Genomic DNA, 20,020 nt, shown 5'->3' on the forward strand with positions numbered 1-20,020 from the left:
GTGCTCAACATCATTGATTATCAGGGAAATGCAAATCAAAACTACAATGAATATCAACTCACAGGAATTAAAATAGCTTATGTCCAAAAGGCAGGTAATCGCAAATGCTGGTGAGGATGGGGAGAAAAGGGAACCATTCTATGCTGTTGATGGAAATGCAAATTTGTGCAAACACTATGGAGAACAGTTTGGAGGTTCCTCAACAAACTAAAAATAGAGGTATCATAAGATCCCACAATGTCACTGCTGGGTATATACCCAAAAGAAAGGAAATCAGTATATTTAAGAGATATCTGCACTTCTTTGTTTGTTACAGCACTGTTCACAATCGCCAAAATTTCAAAATTTTGGATAAAGAAATGGATAAAGGAAAAGTGGTACATATATACAATGGAGTACTATTCAGCTGTGAAAAAGAATGAGATCCTGTTATTTGCAACGACATGGATGGAACTGGAGATCATTACATTAAGTGAAATAAGCCAAGCATAGAAAGATAAACATCACGTTATCAGTTATTTGTGGGATATAAGATCATAACAATTGAACTCATGGTCGCAGAGAGTGGAAGAATGTTTACCAGGGACTGGGAATTGTAATAGGGGAATTGGAGAAAGGTGGGGATGGTTAACGGGTGTAAAAAAAAAAATAGGGCCGGGCGCGGTGGCTCACGCCTGTAATCCTAGCACTTTGGGAGGCCAAGGCGGGCGGATCACGAGGTCAGGAGATCCAGACCATCCTGGCTAACACGGTGAAACCACGTCTCTAATAAAAATACAAAAAATTAGCCTGGCGCTGTGGCGGGTGCCTGTAGTCCCAGCTACTCAGGAGGCTGAGGCAGGAGAATGGCGGGAACCCGGGAGGCGGAGCTTGCAGTGAGCCCAGATGACACCACTGCACTCCAGCTTGGGCGACAGAGTGAGACTCCATCTCAAAAAAACAAAAAAAGTTAGAATAAATAAGACCTACCATTAGATAACATAATAGGGTCACTCTAGTCACTAATAATTTAATTGTAGATTTTAAAATAAGTTATTATAAAGTATAGTTGGATTGTTTGTAACACAATGGATAAATGCTTGAGGGGATGGATACCTCATTCTGCAAGATGTGATTATTATGCATTGCATGCCTGTGTCAAAACATCTTATGTACTCCATAAATATATACACCTACTATGTACTCACAAAAAATAAAAATTAAAAAACAATCCAGGCACAATGGCTCATGCATATAAACCCAGCACTTTGGGAGGCTGAGACAGGCAGATCTCTTGAGCCTAGTAATTCGAGATCAGCCTGGGCAACACGGCAAAATCCTGTCTCTGCAAAAAACACAAAAATAAACCAGACATGGTGGCGTACGCTTGTAGTCCCAGCTACTCGGGAGGCTGAGGTGAAAAGATCACCTGAGCCCAGGGAGGTCAAGGCTGCAGTGAGTCAAGATCCAGCCACACTGCACTCCAGCTTGGGTGACAGAGCAAGGCCCTGTCTCAATATAATAATGATACAAATAAATAAATAAACATCATTATGGTATAGATGCCACATACACACACACACATATACAGACTTCTGAATAGCTCAGTTTCTCTGGAGAACTCAGACAAAAACAGATTTTGATATAGTAGACAGTGCTATCCAGTAGAACTTTCTGTGATAATGAAAATGTTCTTATCTGTGCTGTTCAATACAGCAGTCACTAGCCACATGTGGCTATTGGGTGCTTAAAATTTAACTAGTATGACAAAAGTGCATAATTTAAATTTAATTGCATTTTAATTATTTTAAATCAAAATTTAAATAGCCATTCATGCTTAGTACCTACCTGGTGGACAGCACAGCTCTAGAGAAAAAGCCATATTTTTTAAGCCATACTATTTTGTAACTTGTATGTTACCTTCCAGATCCATTTCCTGCTATTCTCTTCTGTTCTTTTAGTAATTGTTAGTTTGCTACTTCAAGATGCTTTATTGCTTTTATTTTTTCTTTTTATTGTATCAAGGTACAAATCAGATGTTCCTTAGAGATGTGTATAAAATTGGCTATTTACAATAGTGAGATTTTAAGGTAGTTTAATTTAGCTTGGGTTTATAAAAAATCAGTAAAATCCTAATGTTCTTCACAATTCCTTTATTTCAGCTATGTGAATTACCAAGATAGCTCCTGTTATTTAGTCAATCTGGGTCAAGAAACAGGGTCCTTAGTTGGTTTCAGTATTTTTAGTCTGCCCTTCTCATTCCATAGAAGTACTCGTAATATTCCTAACAGAAATTGTATTAAATGGTAATGCAAATACAAAGAATCTTCTGCTCTAAGGAAACACAAAGATTCACACTAAAAAACAGTCACTGACACTTAAAAAATGCACACTTTAATAAATGACTATAGGTTTTCTTATTTATTTATTCCAAACTGCTTGTGGCTGAAAAAGTCAGGAACAGTTAAGAAATGGTGAACAATCTGCTGGGCGCAGTGGCTCATGCCTATAATCCCAGCACTTTGGGAGGCCAAGGCAGGTGGATCACTAGAGGTCAAAATTTCAATCCATCCTGGGCAACATGGTGAAACCTTGTATCTACTAAAAATGCAAAACTCAGCCAGGCGTGCTGGCACACACCTGTAATCCCAGCTACTAGGGAGGCTGAGGCACGAGAGTCACTTGACCCCGGGAGGCAGAGGTTGCGGTGAGCCGAGATTGCGCCATTGACTCTGGCCTGGGGGACAGAGACAGTGTCCCCACCCCCCACCCCCACCCCCAAAAAAAGGTCAACAATTATTATGAATGGGGAGTGGAATTTTATTTATTTCTCCACAGCTTATATTTGTAACAGCCCATATGGACTTCTTTTGTAAATGAAAATAGAAATAATTTTTTAAGTGCAGAATCTTTTAGTTCGAGCCATTCCACTTAAGAATACTTAGAATTACTTACATAGGGAAATACTGCCCTTAAAACAGACACAGAGGAAAGATAAAGGAATCTATATTTTTACAGGATAAACCAGACACCCATTCCTTTAGCAAACACATATTGAGTGATTACTATGTTTATTTTTAGCTGCCAAAAATTTGATCAACAAGCCAAAGTCCCTGCATTCTTCTTGCCACTTACATTTTAGTTGGGGAGAAAAACAAACACACATGTAAATAAATGATTTAAATTATATAAGTTCAAGTTTACAAATGATACGAAGAAAAATAAAATTAGAAGCATGAAGAGTGACCAGAGGAGGTAGGGGTGAAGAGGAAAAGGGTTATCAGCAATGCCTCACTGAGAATGTCACATTTGGACAGACTCTTTGGTAATGTAAGGAAATGACAAATATGATGATCTCCAATAGGAGTGTTGCAGGGAAAAAAAAACTCCACATGCAAAAAATTATATGTCAGGAATAAAATTGGCTTGAATAGCTATAGAGTCATTGTTGTGAAAGTTTTTTTTGTTGTTGTTTACTTGGTTTTTTTTAATGAAGTCAATTTTCAGTATGATTATGTTCAAAAGTAGACAGTGATCTTCAGGTTGTTTCCGTTTATAGATGATTATTTGCAAAACTTCCATTTTACGTATTACCTGCTGTTAAACTCAAGGATCATATGATCATCTATGAATTAGGGTTAATATGTGCTTGTCCTGAGGAAAATGTAGAGAAAGGAATTATCCTTCTTGATGAGTTTAAGAAAGTACATGATGGCCACATATCTTAGATCATTTACATTCAATCATTGTATAAATAGAATTTACACTACATAAGATCATTAGGTCATTTGCACTCTATACGTTGTGATTGCATATTTTAAAACGAGAGAAGGTGAAGATGTTGATCATATTGCTACTTGATGTAGCTATATAAAAAGGAAGGAAGAGATCATTTTGAGGTTATACATTTCTGAAAATTTGTGAATTTATTTTCATTACTTTTATATACTTTCATCAACATAACATGAAATTCTAATAATAAGACATGTGGAGTGGGGTGAGGTAAAATAATAGGTTATATTTTGAAGAGGGACACTGAGTGTTTTATAAACAGTAGCAAAATTGTAAGTTAAAAAACTATCTAAAGCAGTAAATATTGCCATAAATATATACAAAAAATACATATACCAACCATACAAACCATTTTGTATATATATACAAAAATACATATACCAACCATATACACACATCATATATATTAATACTACTTATATTGTGGTGTATATACTATATACTATGCCTATAAATTCTTAACATTTCTGCAACACAGGCAGATTATCTCATACTTAAAATGCTAGCAAGCAAGGAGAATGACAATCAATGTTTCCAGTACTCAATAAGCTAATTTTCTTCCACAATGGTGTACATTTTCACCAGGCCATGAAATCTGTTTTTCTAGGTCAATTTACTACAAGGGTCAATTTGCTATGAGAGTCAATTTAGCATGAATTTTTAGATTTTCAGTTCTGGGAATGACTGTATATTTTAAAAAAATTAGATATTTCCCCTAAATTTAGCATTTTAAAAGAGAAATATAAATGTTCTGGTGAACCATGTGAAATCACAGGAAATTTATCCATAGTGATAAAAGTGACATTTGTTTTCCCATTTTCATTTCAATATTTTTAGCATAATTAAAACCGTAGACAGTTTACTTGGCTCCCAAAAGTGTAAAAGAGCATAATCATCACAGTCAGAATAAATTTCAATACTTTCAACTGTGGTAGAAACAGTCATAAAATATAAGCTAACTGTAGTCTCTTCTGTGATAACTACCTTAAAAAAAAACCTATCTTTGGTACTACTGAGAGAGGAGGAGGAGGTTGCCATCTTATTCTGTGATAGTATAAAGAAAGAGGACCAATATGTTCAAGGCAGAACAAAATATAAACTATCTTTTATATAATACATTAATTACTAATGAATTACTTGCTTGTAAGGCATTAATTTCTCTTCGTTTTATATTGGATTTCAAAACACTTAATTAAATATTTAAAAATATTTTTGCCATGAAGTGAAAGAGAATACGGGGCTTAATTATAAAGAAAGTAAAGAAAATTTTGCAAACAGGTTTAATATTTCAAACTATTGCATATAGGGATGCGTGGATAGATGCCATCTTTTGGCAATTTATGAAACTAATTAATTGATGATTCCTATGGGGTCAGTTAATTTATACATTTACTGCCACATTGATGATATATGTAGACAATATAACCTTAAACCTATGAAATGAAGATACTGGAAGATATTTAATTGTATTCACAGAACAGCTGTAAGTTTTAGAAATGTATTTATTCGTACAAGTCTATATAACATTTTGACAATGTCACATTTTTCTAAAATATTCAAATATCTCACAACATTGAGTACTGGCAATTTTTAAATTAATTGTGTAATAGTATCTAAGAATAGACTACTTGAAAAATAGAGTATTATCTGTTCTTTGTACATGAATCTGACATTATTTATCCAAATGACCAGAGTTTATGTTTTCAGTATTTTTCTCCCATAAATGCAATCAGTGCACATTTCACTTCTAGTCCCCTGGGTGTATGGGCTAAAGAGAGCCCTTAATCACAAGAAAGTTCATGACTCTCACTTAATCAAACTTTCAACTTAAAAAAAACTAATTAAATTAATCATTTTGTTTCATAGTTTACCAATGGAGTTACTTTTGTCATGAGTTTCTGAAAGCAGTAATTTACCAAAAATCCCCTAGGCTTTTTAGGCTCTTCCGTTTCAGAGATTGCCCACTGAAATTATCCCTGGGGGTGAGTATGTGGCAAAATAGTGTTAAAGACCAGTGCTTCTCAAACTTTGTGTGCGTACAAATCACTACAAATCTTGGTATAATGAAGATTCTGACTCCGCAGGTATGGGGCAGGGCTGAGATTCTGCTGTCCTGATAAATTCTTAGGTGTTGCTGGTGCTGCTGGTCTGAGAACCACATATTTAGTAGTAACGCTATAGATTATATGAGGGTACAAATCCAAATTGCTGTCATGGTTATCAACAAGACTCAGAAGAAGACTCTTTTTCAGAGTATTGGTTACAAATGCCTATATATTCATGCTCAAATGGGGTATTTTCTTCAATATAATAATCTTAAAGTTTTTTTTTCTATTGCTCAATGTAGCTTTATAAGTAATTAAGTCCAGCTCCTTCATATTATAGTTGAGGCCACTGAGGGTCAAGGAAGTTGAATATATGCCCAAGGTCATACAGCTAGAAGCAGCATGTGCATTAGAACCCAGAAACTCCGACTACCATTTCAATAAACAAATCCTAACTTCTTTGGCATTTCCATTTGTTATATTCTCCCTGACACAAAACCTAAGCGTGAGTCAATAATGATTAGAATTTCACCTTTTGATCCTCACAATAGGTTAAATGATAGCAGTATCTGTGGACTCACTGACTGACTTTCCTAACAGCTAAAACTCACAGTAGGCAACTATCTCCTACAATAACACAGGTATTCACACATCTTTCTTCAAGAATGTGCTTGCAGTTTTATTATGGACATTTTGTTCCTTAATTTTGAGAACCTGGGGAGAAAGGTGGGCAGAGAAATGAATGGGTCATTAGTTAAAAGGCAAGGGTTGAATTTGCAAAAGGTTGTGGCAAAGTAAGCAACAAATGGGAAAGAGTGAAGGGCATCAATATTGATCTTGCCTCTCATCTTTCCCTCTGTCTTCTTGCTTGCAGGTTTCTATTGTGTAGTCTCTCAAACAAAGCCGACTTTATTTATGGTGTGACTGATTTAACACTACTGAACCAGTCCATCATCTGCCAATTTGGTCCAATTAAAAACTGGTCATAGGGAAAACCTGGGAATTAAGCTCATTTAGAAACACAACTTCTGATTCATTTATGTCTTGCTCATTTATGTCTCCTCTTCTAAAGGACACATTTCAGGGTGTTGATTTATAGAGGTGGCTCTTTCCAGCTTCCTGAGTTTCTGTGACTCCTTTTGGTTAGGTCCATTAAAAAAGTGCACTTCTGCCTCTCTCCCCTCGTAAGGCTATTGTTAAAACATTTTAAAGAGGCTTGCCTAAGATTTCCTGCTATCCAGAATTAGAAAAATCCCAATAAACAGCTAGAGTCACCATTTTTAAAGTATGTACGCATTGCATGGACTTACGCTAACATGATTGCTTTCTCACTTAATCCTTACAACTCTTTAAGTACTATTATCCTGGTTTTGCAGTTGAGGAGGCTTTAGACTTAAACGTTCAAGTAAATCATCAAATATTATAAAACATGAAGCGACAGCTATGCTATTTGAACCAAAGGCTGCCTGATGCCAGTGCCAGCACTGCTACTCACCAAGCTCTACTGAGATTTATACCTAGACTAAGTAAAACCTCTGAACAACAACAACAACAAAATTATTTCCTCCACTTGTTTTTCCTTTTTTGCACAAGTTCTTGTAGGCAGGTAGGTGTTCCACTCCCTATACTTAGCCTCTCCCACGCCCTCTGCAATCTTTCCCTTTTGCTGCTGGAATCGTCAGAGATTGCTACTGCAGCTGGTGAGTGGGCAGGTGCAGCCACCATCTGCTCTAGGAGTCCAAATGCGCAGAAGAACCTCGCACCCAGGACCTGGCCCAGGCACCACGAATTCCAGAACATGCTGGGGACACGGCTAACCCCGCCCCCTCGCGGTGGCGATTGGCTGAACCCTTCCTGAGTGCAAAGCGCTGATTAATGAAGGCAGTTGTCTCGCCTGCAAGTTCGGGCGAGACATCTCTAAAGAGGTAAGATCCGCCAGGGGTGCTGAATGGGGGCTTCAGTTCTTCCTGCCCGAAGGGTCCTTGAGAAGCCTGTTTGTTTTTCCCGGCGCTTGTCTCCACCCATCCCCTTCTCTCATTGGCCAGACCTGGTGGGCGGGGGAGTTTCCATTGGCCGGGGGGCGGTGTCTGTCCCTGGCCGGGGTGGGGGCGGGGCCTCCGCCGCTCTGAGCTTGCCCTTGTGTCTGGTGCTTCGTAGAGCTGCCGCCGTCGCCGCTGCCGCTGCCGCCACAGCCGCCGCTGCAGCCGGAGCATCCGGGAGCCGCCACTGCCGCCGCCGCTGCCGCTGCTACCGCCACTAGCGCTGCTTCCACTGCTTCTACCTCCCCTCCCAGGACCCCGAGACACCCCGGGCGCGAGCGGCAGTGCTGCTTGCTTGCTCCTCCTCTCCCCCAGCCCTTCCCCTCCGTGACCTACCCACTCCTTGCAGCCCTCGCCCGCACCTTCTCCAACACCCCGGCATCCCTGCACCACCTGCTCGGGCAGCCCCGGCGGGCTCTGGGACTTGCTGTGCGCGCCGAGAGGAAGGCAAGCTCCAAACCCCTGCCTGGAAGACGGGCTGTCGCGGCTGCACCACCAGCAGGAGGAGGAGGAGAAGAAACTATTTCGCGATACCCCATTCTGCGGGTGCTTTGCCGCTGCCGCTTCTGCTGCCGCCGATCCGAGTCCGCGGGTTCGAACACCGCAGCGGTGGGGACGGTGGGTCCGGCGGGCGCCGGGAGGAGGACACCAGCGGAGCCCTGCACTCTCGTGCCCCGCTCACCAGCATCTACTTGCCCCCTCGTTCCTTCCCCAGCCCTTTAGAGAAGGGACCATGATTTGGAAACGCAGCGCCGTTCTCCGCTTCTACAGTGTCTGCGGGCTCCTGCTACAAGGTAATCCCCGCCCCGGCGCAGGGAACATCAACTTCTCGCCCATTCCCCATCTTCCCCATTCCACCCCATATTTCCACTCTCCCCTCCCAGTCTCCCTGTCCCCAGCGATTTCCACCCCCTCCCCCTACTCTCTGGTGCGGCAGGGGGCAGTGGCAGTTTGCACCAGCCCCTCGAATTTCTAACACTGGCTCAGCCCTGCCTTCCCAGCAGTCAGCCCCTTACGCGGCACCTTTTGCCTTCTCATTCACCTGAGCTTCCTTCATCTCACTCCATTCCCGCCAGCATCCCCCTCCCACGCCTTTTGGCTGGCAACTTGTGCCTCTCTGAACATTCCACCCTCCCGACAACCCCCACCAGCCACCTCCCACATCACGCTCTTGAGCGACCCTCTCCATCTCTTGTCATCTCTTTAACCTCCCCCTTTTCAGGTCGCCTTTTCTTTTCCCCCTCTTCCCACCATCATCATATCCGTGTGTCTTTAAAAAGTGTGTGAGAGCCTGGGAGCGAGCTACCAAGACGGGCGAGAACAGCAGCAGCGACAGCACCGTGTGCATTGCAATAACATCCCCGGGGGGGAAATGTGTTCTGAGACGTGTCATTTACCTAGGAAGAGAGAGGGGACTCTGTCTGGGATTTAAAAAAAAAGAAAAGAAAAGAAAAAGAAAGGAAAAAGAATAAGAAAAAAGAAAAAATGAGTGAATGAATGAATAAATAAACCAAGAATTTAAGAAAGGGGAGAAAAGGCAAAAAAATTAAAAGACCCAAACCCACTTTATCAACACATTGACTTTTTATTATTCAGTCTGTGTCGTTTCTTTTTTTTTTTAACCAAAGAAATATATGCTCCCTAGCAGTTACTTTACTGCTAAGATATTTTCACTTAGATTTCCTACCTCTCCATCCTCTCTCTGCCGCTTCTTTCCGTAATTAATATTATCCTTTCACGTGAAATGTAAGAACCTCTGCGACCGCAGCAGTGGAGGGAAACCGCACAAAACGCTGTTATTATGCAAATCACTGGGTTTGGATGCCGGATGGCTAAGGAATCTGGGTTCACTTTTCTCCAGACCCTCTTTTTTGGAGGAGGGAGTGAGGGGGCTGTGTGGAATGGGAGGACGATGCTGATTATGAAATAAATGGCAATGCATAGTACAGGAGTGCATGAGGACACTTTGGGTGGTGGAGGAGGCAGGGGCGGCGTGCTAGGGCTAGGTGGGCAGGGGCTGTAAGGCGGAAGATTGTTGCTTTGAAGAGAATAGTATAGGGATGTGGCTTGAGTGTGAGATATAGCAAGGATGGATGTGAAATGATGATTGATAGAATATTTTTTAAGCTAGGTGACTAGATTTTTTTTCTTTGCCTGCCTCTAATCCTTCTGTCATTATTTGGGTATTTGCAGGAAAGGTAAGTTGATCAAATTAATTTTTCCCTGGGTAAAAGGGATCTGAAAGTAAGACACACGTAGACTCACTGGCGTGCAAAACCCAGTCGGCCTTTGGAGGATTTAAATGAGGTCAATGAACCATCTTTCAGCAAGTTCTTGGAATGCATCCTCTCTCCTGCCCTCCTCCGGGATATAGACTGGGGACCGAATTTTATTTATGCATATTTATGAATGTGAAAAAAGAGGCGGTGGGCAGAATTTTCCTGAATTAACTAACTGACCTTGTAGAGATCTTGTGTAGAAAATTTTGGTGGTACTTTTGTGTATTTTACGTTGGGTGTAAATTTCAGATATGTCATGTGTGCCAGAATCTCCGTGAAGGCAGACAGCACATTCTCCCTGCGTACACCGCCGAGTCCCATTTCTCACCTTTCACACCCCCATCCTCACACAAGTAACCCGGGTGTCTGACACGTTACTTAGGTTTTTAATCCGCGCTGAGACAATCTCACAGAGACCCTACTTCACCTCTCAGTAACTTGCATTTCTCAGCTCTGCTGTGTGTGTGTGTATGTGTGTGTGTGTGCGCGCGCGCGCGCCGGCGTGTGCCGTGTTGGGGGAGTGTGATGTGGGGGAATCAGTTAATTTGGTGATTGCAATGAAAATTCGACACCGCTAGATGTATTTTCCCTGCCAATCTGTGTGTGCTGGCCCCGGCCGGTCAATGCACACACTGCTGGGCTGCTGCGAAATTATTTATTATAGAGCATGTGGGCCATGGACTGCACTTGGGGTCGCCTCCTCTCTTCCTTCAACATTTCCCTGTGAATTGTCTATTCAGTGCAGTGCGAAATAACTGTTTGCTGGTGCCTCTCTCTCAGCCTGGAGGAGGATTTACTCTTTCTCTACCCGGAGAGATTCCATCAGCAGCATTCAGGCATGAGTCTCTTTTATTGAGTATGTAAACCAATGATTAAGACAGTGCTGCTTTTCACAGCAGACTGGGGAGCGGGGGGTGCGGGGAAGGGGTGTGAGTATAGCCGAGAAAATGCACCACTGCAACCAGCAGCAACACCAGCATTAGGTCCAATAAATAAATAAATAAATAAATAAAGGTTCTATACAGCAACCAGGGAAAGAGCACAAGTCCATCCATGTCTGTGGACTTAGGAGCATCTTAGATCAGGCCATATGAATACACTAAAAGAGATACGAGGATTTAAAAAAAAAAAAAAGAAAGAAAGAGGAGGGGGCACAAAGCACCACTGGATTGTCTTCTCATGTTTATGGCTGCCTCACATTTATTCATCAAACACTGCTCCACAGACACATCATAGTTTGTTGATATTGTCAGTTTTTGCTCAAATTGCTCATGCCTTCCTTGTCTTAGGCTTGGCTGAGAACATTGTTTCGGGGTTCAGATTTATGTTTCTTCCCCTACCCTACTGTTTTATTAGGACTTGGTTAGGTTGTAAAATGAAGGCTTTATTTTCTGGACATAGATTAAATACTTAGCGGGTCTTTCTATGTGCGGGGAGAAAAGGGTGGCGGGGGAACTAGTGAGCGACTGATTTTGGCTAGAGGGAGTCTGCCCTGCCTGCTAGTAGTTATGACTAGGCAAATACTATAGTCAGTCATTAGCTTCTTTTTTTTAGCTTTATCAGCACTATAGTGATATTCACTTAAGTAATACTAATCAGTTTATTTATCCCATGTATTACTATTCTCTTTCTTTCAGTATCATTATTAAAGACAAGAAGACTCATTTGAACATATCTTCTCCATGTTTCTGTGTTTTAACTGACTGTATTTTATATTATCACCTATATTTTTTACCTTTTTTCTGGGAAGCAAAATCAATTTTCTGGCTTGTTAATATGTGGAGTGATAAGCCAGTGGTGAGAATCTAGTCAATGATAAAATGAGTTTTTTTTAAAAGGCTTACTTAATTCTATAACATCTGCCAGTTTGTCCTCATCCTCATCGTGTCTTTAGGAAATGAATAATAGATAGGGAATAAACATATGCTTTTGGCTAAACATTTGTTTGGCCAAAGTATAACTTGGAATGTAGGCTACTTAAATAGCAAAATTTCATTTGGTGTTCAGTTACAATGTGTCTTTTCTTATTTTCCCTCATCATAGAAAGAGGAAAATCTGGAGTAAGCGCAAGGGACACATTACAGAAATGAATTTCTTTGCAAGGAAAGCTTGCCACCTGTAACTAAGTCCTCTCTTGGCTATACAGTAGATCCAGTTCAATTGCTAACCCTTGCTGAAACCTTATGCCTTTCCATGCCTGAGGGGGCACTGCAAAGATGGAGAGAATGCCCTGGGTAGCACAGGAAACAATTCTGGAAAGGGCAAAAAAGAAACAAGGGCAAAATATAACAAGAAATAATCATGCATACATGCATACAAGACCTCATTTTGTTGAGAACTGTGTTTACTTTTTGGAATTAGTCGTATAAAAAAGCACCTCCAAGACAGATACTGGGGCTTTAGGTTTTTTTGTTTGTTTGTTTGTTTGTTTTTTGCCGTGGTATATTCTGGTAAATTATTTGTTACATTTAGTAAAAATATAACACAAGCACAATTTAATTTGAATATACATTCAAATTAAATCTCATTGGACGTACATAATACTTGCCTCAGTATCTGTCATGAACCTCACCTTACATTTTTAGAAAGCACATTATAATACATCTTATATACACTTAATGAAATACTTACGCTTCCTAAAAGCATATCTTTCCAACTATTTTACCTTTACATGTGTTAACTTTAGTCTTGGCAAGCTCATTTCTTATGCCAAATGCAGTTCTTGAAATACAGTTTTCTCACTCCCTTTTTTGATTAACATAAACTTTGGAAAGTGGAGCCTATATACTTAAATGCAATAACTGTGGCTTAAATAGTCAAACATCAGACAATTGGTAATTAAGAAAATCTTTGCAAATATAAGGAGTTTCTAGACTAGTTTTATATCAAGATGTGGAAGCTTACTTCATTGTCTTTTTCCCATTTCTATAACTATTAGAACTCTGGGAACATAACATGACAAAGCTAAGTATCAACTGAGATGATCTGTTCTTGTGTCCTTCATTAGAAGATAAGACATTTGAAAACTATTTGTCACACAATTAAATAGTGGTAGAATGTCATTTTTCTTAAAGAAAAAAATACTTAAATCACTTAAAGAGCAAAATGGAAGTGCAAAAATGTTGGAAGACATCCTAAGCATGCATTTGAAAGTGGCCTGGAATCAACACCAAATGACATGAATTTTCTCCTTAAGTAGTCTGTGGTATATCAATGATTGAGACAAGTAAGCCTTATTTACTATGAAGGATTTGGGGGTACATTAATAATCAAATATAGACCTAATGTCATATGGATGTTTTATTTGATCTTGCTGACAAGTGCTCTATGATATTTATTGAGAAATAATCCTCATTTTATTAGACTGTATTAAACCCATTGGCTAAGTCACCTATTCTGTAGCAGCTAGCTGAATAGATTGAGGAAGTAGAGAGAAGGAAAATCACAAACCAAGGAGGCCGACTCAAAACTGAAGTCAAAAGCCCTTTGTTGAATTGGCAGATATTGGTCTGATTTACTCTCTTAAAATAGTTCTAGTGCCCAACAATTATTATACTTAAGCTTCCTGAGGGCAAGCTCTGAGCCTCACATAGCTATGCAATTTTCTTATCCTCATTTTAGTAGATGCATAAACAGTCATGTTGGATTGAATAATATATATGTCCTAATTACTTGTGATGGGATTAAATGATCTCTTCTTTTCATAATATGAAAGCACTCATACTTTGTCAAGTCACATAAGAGTTAATTTTGACATTTTGTAAGCTATATTGGTTTATGAAAGTTATCCTAAAGTATCACATAAATAGTTCTTAATATACATCTTTAAGTGAATTCAATCTGATCAGTCATTTTTAACATTTTTCCTACCATTTTTTTCTTTTCCTTGATTAAAAACCCCAGATACTTTACATTAGATTAGATCATAAACTAATTTCATAAAAAATGAAGGACACAATTTAAATTTACTGATTTAACCTAAAATATTTAAAAGGACACGTTCATTGCCAACATTTTATTTGAAAATGTCAAGCATTTTTGGAGTGCAATTCTGTTGTATCAAGAAAGGCATCTTCTGCAAATTCCTTGTGTAAAGAGGTGGGTGAGGATTAACCTAGAGCTGTGGCAGCTGAAGCCCCCTGCTGTGTGATGATGCAAATGGCATCTCAGGCCTAATGTGCTCTGCAGAGGCCACAAACTCACAGGAAAGCAGTCATGTGGCATGAGAGTGAAATGGGAAGTCTTTTTCATAGCTTGTAGTGGACATAAAACATCCTTTAGCTTTTTATAACCAGAAATGATCCAGAGTATTTGTAATCACATGAGGTTATGACAAAGCAAAAGAGAGAACATATATTTTGTTTAGAGATGAATAAAATCCTACTAAAACTATCAACATTTTCATCCAATGAATGGTGAACATTTAATTTTCTTCCAAACTATCGGGAACATAGGTCAGTTTAATGAAGATGAATAGCAAAATTAAAATAGGATTTCCATGCTATTTTTTACGTGTGTTGGACTTAATAACTGTTGGGCTGGGAAGCATTCTGTTATCCAGTTCTTCCTTCAGTGAGTAAGGAGTTAGTCCTTTAATCTCATTCTTATTAGAGCATTTCCTGTACTATGAAAATATAGCAGTTTCTTTACAAAATAGGAGTTAACTGTTCAGTGTCTCTTCAGTTTATTTAGTGTTGTCAAGTATAATTTGTGTTATGTCACATCAATAGAGAATGTTTCCTATCTGCACAATATTATTTATCACATAGGCAAAGTCATCTGATATGTTCTCTAAAAATGTAAGAGTTATAAACCCACTGTTATAGCATTAAACCCTATCAGATAAAAGGAACTAACGTAGCTTTGTATATTTTGATTCCATTTGCCACAGAACAAAAAACTGAACATGTTATACATACTGATTTTTACTAAGTAGTGAGCCCAGTTGGTCCTGTTAATGTGTTCAGTGGATTTCCTTAAGCATATACGAAACCGTTTTCATCTTAGAAGCATGCAGCCTATTTAAAAATTAGTGAAGTAAATATTCTGCTTAAGTAGGGATCAGTTAAATATTAATGTCAAAATCAGAGATGTAATTATTGAGTATGGAAATATTCCACAGTCACTTATTTATATATATGCACATATATACACATTTAAGTATGTCATTATTTTTAAGACTGAAGAACATCTTTATTAATTTTGTAATTAGAGTTTAGGGCTTTCAGGGATGTATAATAGAATGATGGAAAAGTTAAGAGTTTGTTTTGTTTTTACTCATTGTGTTCTTTTACTCTTTCAATTAAGGTTAAGAATTTTATTTTTTTTTAAAGTAAATTTTCTCAGGCTGCAACAACGATTAACAAGACTTCCACAAAAAAACACACACACAAGTCTTACAATTTATGAAATAACAATAGGGTTGAGTATTCTGCATCTATCTTTGTGCTTATGAAACTGAGTGATAAGAACTTGTTACTACTTGAATAGATACAGAGCTAAGTTAGTAAGATCTGCCATAGAGAGAGGGGGCCATTAACTATTCACATTATATTTTAGAGGTCTTTGAAGTAAATATTAACACAGTCATTGTTCAATTTTGGAAACAACTCTTTCTGAGTCAGCAAATCATTTTCACTTGAATATTTAAATTATCTTTCAGCCATTTCATTGTTGAAGAGGAAGTCCCTGTCTAGTCATAGTTAAGGAGTTTTTCCAGGGGTTAAATACTGATGTCATTAGGCATTGCTTAGAAAATAAAAATAAGCATACTTTTGCTTTCAGAAAAAAAAATCTCAAAGCTAAATGTGATCAAATAGTGCAAATAATTTCACATTATAAGAAAACAAAGTCCTTTAAAAAGTCAAATTGAGTTTCTAAAAATTTTATATATTTTATGATGGTTAATTTACAGTAAGGATACATTGCTTATCTAAAGTTGTCCTTGAGAACAGAATGAGAACATACCTTTCCTGACAAAGATATGCTGCCGACTGCTAAGTGTATAGCTGTTATATTGATTTGCTATAATTTATAAAGCCAATTAATTTATTATTGTAAGGAAATATTTTTACCTTTAGGCTAAAATTGTTTGTATTCTAAAATGCAGGTGCCTTCCATAATGCTTATTTAAACATCAAGGCCTAAAATTTATAGTGTGTAAAAAAAGTCCTAATTTTCTTAATAAATTCATATTTTATATTAACTTCTCCTGTATCCCCCATGGGGGAAAGTGTCCATGACATTCATAACTTCCGTTCATTCTGATACCTTTTACATCTCTTGTTTTTCAATCTGGAGTTGTAGGCTTAAGTTTAAATGAGAAATAATGTATTATGAATTAGAATATTTATATGTAAAAGCAAAGAAAAATATATAGTAAGCTTTTTATTTAATTGCCATTTCTTTACTGCTCTCTATTTTATGTGCTGAAGTCCGAATAGTAACTCGGCTTCCTTTATACTCTCCAGGAATATAATATCCCTCCCATTCCCTGCCCATGCTACTGACTTGAAAGATCCATTAAAATAAATTAATGGGGAATGAAGAATAAAGAAGTGTTTTGCTAAAGGATATGTACAGAATATGTACAGATTGGGTGTTTTTCCTTTCAACCCCCAAGGAGCACACCCCAGCGTTTTAGCAAGGATAAAACATGTGCAATGTGTATTGACTTGTTTTTGTTATTGTTACTATTGCATTTTTTTGAAAGCTCCATTCCGTAATCTCTTAATAAAAATGGCAAAAAGAAGGGGAAAGGAATGTGAGTCAGCCAGCCAAACACACAGAGAAAGGCCTGGCAAAGCTGCCTAAATTAGCATATGCTAGGCTGAGTATTTCCCTCTGTTGTTACATAATCCCTTTCTAATACGAAATCAGTTCTCATACTTAACCCTTTCAGGAGGTTTGGAATTCTCCCACTGTTATATTTTTATTTTGCTTCATTTATTTTCTCATGAATTGTGTAAATCATCTATTCAAGGGCTTTTATGTCAAGTTCTTTTTTTCCCTCTCCAGCCCTTCTGTATACAAATGTTCCATTCTGTGTCCAACTTCAGGATTCAAGAATCAACTTTTCTATAGCTTCCACTGAGAGGATCTAATTAGCATTTTAGTCTCCCTTTACTCATGTGCAGCTTTCTTTAGAAAATGTATTAGTTCTACGAGGTTCCCCTAAGGATTCATAATACTCTAGTTTGTTACATGTTCTGTGATATTCAATGTGCCTTAATTATGCACGTGTCCTCATTTCAAAGCCTTTTCAGGGATCATGTGGGATAGAACAGGGGTCTGGCTGTAAGTTCACTGTCATGTATTAATGTGTAGGTGGTATTCAGAGAAGGATGTTTCTGAAGGCAATTATATATCTATGACTCCAATATAGCAAGCAGTTACTCACATTCTGCACTTACTAGTTATCCTGCCAAGGCAGAATTAAATTCACCATTGTGATACATAATACAGTATCTGTTATTTCTAAATAACAGATACTGCTCTAGGATTGAAATAAAATAATGAGTGAAAATGTGTATCCCCTACCCTGAATAGGGATTGTTCCTTTCACTTTCCCAAACAAAAAGAAGAATCAGAAATTGTTCCTAAGTCAATACTCTATTCCTTAACTAGCCCATTAACACATCTTGCTATGGTGGGATCTTGAAGTTTTGCTGGTTTTTATGTGAGGCTGTAGATATTTAAGCAGTATTAATTGCCTGCAATCTTTATGGACTGCCAAATATCAGTGCATTGCCAAATTTGAGACATTTTATTTTCGGGTTTTAATTTGGATGCAATTTGAATACTGGTGGAAGTATAGAGAGACGCTGAACTCAACAGAGAGAGACAGACATCTTTTTCTTAAAGAGACTTCAATTGTGGAGAGATTGCTATAAGAATTGGCTTGTTTTGTATGTGTTATCACTTAACAAGGGGGATACTTTCTTATATTACATGAGTATGAGAGTGCATTTGTCTTAATTGTACCCTTTGACTTACATGTCTTCCTCTGTGTCTTATGTCATAAGAAAATGGTGGTTTAATTTGTAACTGCAACTTGTGTCTTTTATTCTTTTATTTATGCTTATGGCAATAAAAAGCGTTTTATAAGCTGATATAATAAATATGTTTTGACAATTTTTGTTTGATTATTTTACACAATAGCATAATTTTTGAAGCTATAGTTTTAGTTTTAGTAGACAAAAGAATGCCATCTGCCCTCTATTGATTATTTTAAGCATTTATGTGTTCTTATTTCATGAGAGAACTGAGCATTTGATTTTGTCTATTCTGTGATCTATATAAAACTTCGTATATTATTATTATAGTATTTTGACTAATCGAATGTCTGGTCTATCTTTTTTTTTAATGTTTTCATTCCACTGATTGATTAGTTTTCTTCTAAAAGATTTAATCTTGACACAACTCTTTAATTGGATCTAGATAATATTTAAGTATTTACATTATAACTGCCAAAATGCCAATACAGTACTCCAAATAGAATAAATATTTGCAGTGACTTTTCATTTATATGTAATACACAGGAAGAAGACAGAAATGCACCCCAAGAAACAAAAATAATACTAAATAATGGTGTACTTAACAAAAATATGAATTAATTGCTTTCAGTCAGGGTAGTCAATTCAAATTTGCACTGTAAACATTTATTTGAATCTTCCCGATATCTTTGGGTATTTAACCCCTTATCTTTAATCTACTTTCTAAAGATTTTATTTCTAGCTTCAAAAATATTCCTGATGATGACTTTGGTTAAACGTGAAGCCACATTATCTTCTTGTTCTACTTTGAGTAGCTGGCATTTCCGGATAAATGTATAAACAAAGAGGAATTACAAGCTGACCTTGATCCACCAGATTATGTGTGGACTGACCTGCTTTTTTTTTTTTTTTTTTTTTTTACTGCCAAGCTAGAGAGTAGAGGTTCTCTGATTAGTCCCTGAAGTGAAGATTCAGGGTGCATTCTTCTCAGTTAACTGGAAGAGATTCTGTCAGTATTATTTAAAAGGCCCTTTAAAAATTCTAAATGTTAGTCTATTTGTGTTTTTAATGTTTAGTTATTTATACTTATGCAGTTGATGACACATATATGCTGTGATTGAATTTGATTTTTTTTTTTTGCATTTGAAAGATAGAGGTAGGATGGAAATATTATCTGCCTTTTAAAGAAAATATAAGTACAGTTACTGGAAACTCGAAACCAAGGGAGAAAAGACTCTACAATTTGTAGTGACTATATTTTCACATAAAGTGTTTTAAGAATACTTTTTCTAAAAAGTCCCAGTGAAATGCGACTTTTCTTAAAAGTCAAGTTTTTCTTCACATTTTAAAAATCAATTTCCCTGATGTCTTGTGGATTTTTGACTGTTTCATGACTCTTAGCATTTGAAAAGATATTATTAACTAGACTAGCTTAAGATTTACCTGAATGCCAGGTGCGGAAATCACTCTGTCATCCTCATAGAGAAATATATATTCTGTAAATAAATGTCAAATGAAGATAAACTAGCAAAATTTATTAAGGATTCTTGCCGCTTTATACAGTTGGTATTAAGAATTATATTCTCTCATAGCTTCTATTAGCACCTAGTCTTGCTTTATGTTAAACCATGTCTGTATGATGCTACAGTTGCAGAATAAACCTTCTCTAACATGGCTTCTGTTTGGCCCCTGCTCATCAACTTTTCAGAGACTAGTGAATTAAAGGGAAGGTAGTTTTTGTTGCAATTTTTGTTGGAGGCAATTTTTGTTGACTATTTCACTGTTTCAGTGAAACATTTTAATATGTTACTGAATTTATTCATTATATTGAGGATATTCCTGTAACCTATGGTTAAATATGACATATTTTAATTTTTTTGTGTGTAGCCACA

General features: G+C 37.6%; 1 protein-coding gene across 11 annotated transcripts in view, besides 1 other annotated feature; it reads left to right on the forward strand.

The window, feature by feature from the left end:
* Positions 1-7,969: 7,969 nt before the first annotated feature.
* Positions 7,970-20,020, forward strand: part of CADM2 (cell adhesion molecule 2) — a 1,115,441-nt gene continuing 1,103,390 nt past the window's right edge. For 9 of the 11 annotated variants that reach the window (NM_001375961.1, NM_001375960.1, NM_001167675.2 and 6 more), the window contains exon 1: positions 7,970-8,649. Coding sequence is in view for 10 of the 11 variants with exons in the window: in NM_001375960.1 (NP_001362889.1) it covers positions 8,589-8,649 (61 nt within the window). In the remaining variant the exon portion in view is untranslated. The remainder of the gene's footprint in view (positions 8,650-20,020) is intronic. The other 2 variants (XM_017006062.3, NM_001381964.1) reach the window with 1 other exon arrangement.
* Positions 10,135-10,677: an enhancer, noted in NCBI's record as "H3K4me1 hESC enhancer chr3:85010305-85010847 (GRCh37/hg19 assembly coordinates)". NCBI's record gives its function as "activates a minimal SCP1, AML or CMV promoter by ChIP-STARR-seq in primed H9 embryonic stem cells {active_cell/tissue: H9 hESC(primed)}" and the evidence as "EXISTENCE:reporter gene assay evidence [ECO:0000049][PMID:30033119]".

Source organism: Homo sapiens, chromosome 3 (assembly GCF_000001405.40).
Source record: "Homo sapiens chromosome 3, GRCh38.p14 Primary Assembly".
In the NCBI taxonomy this organism is placed as follows: Eukaryota; Metazoa; Chordata; class Mammalia; order Primates; family Hominidae; genus Homo; species Homo sapiens.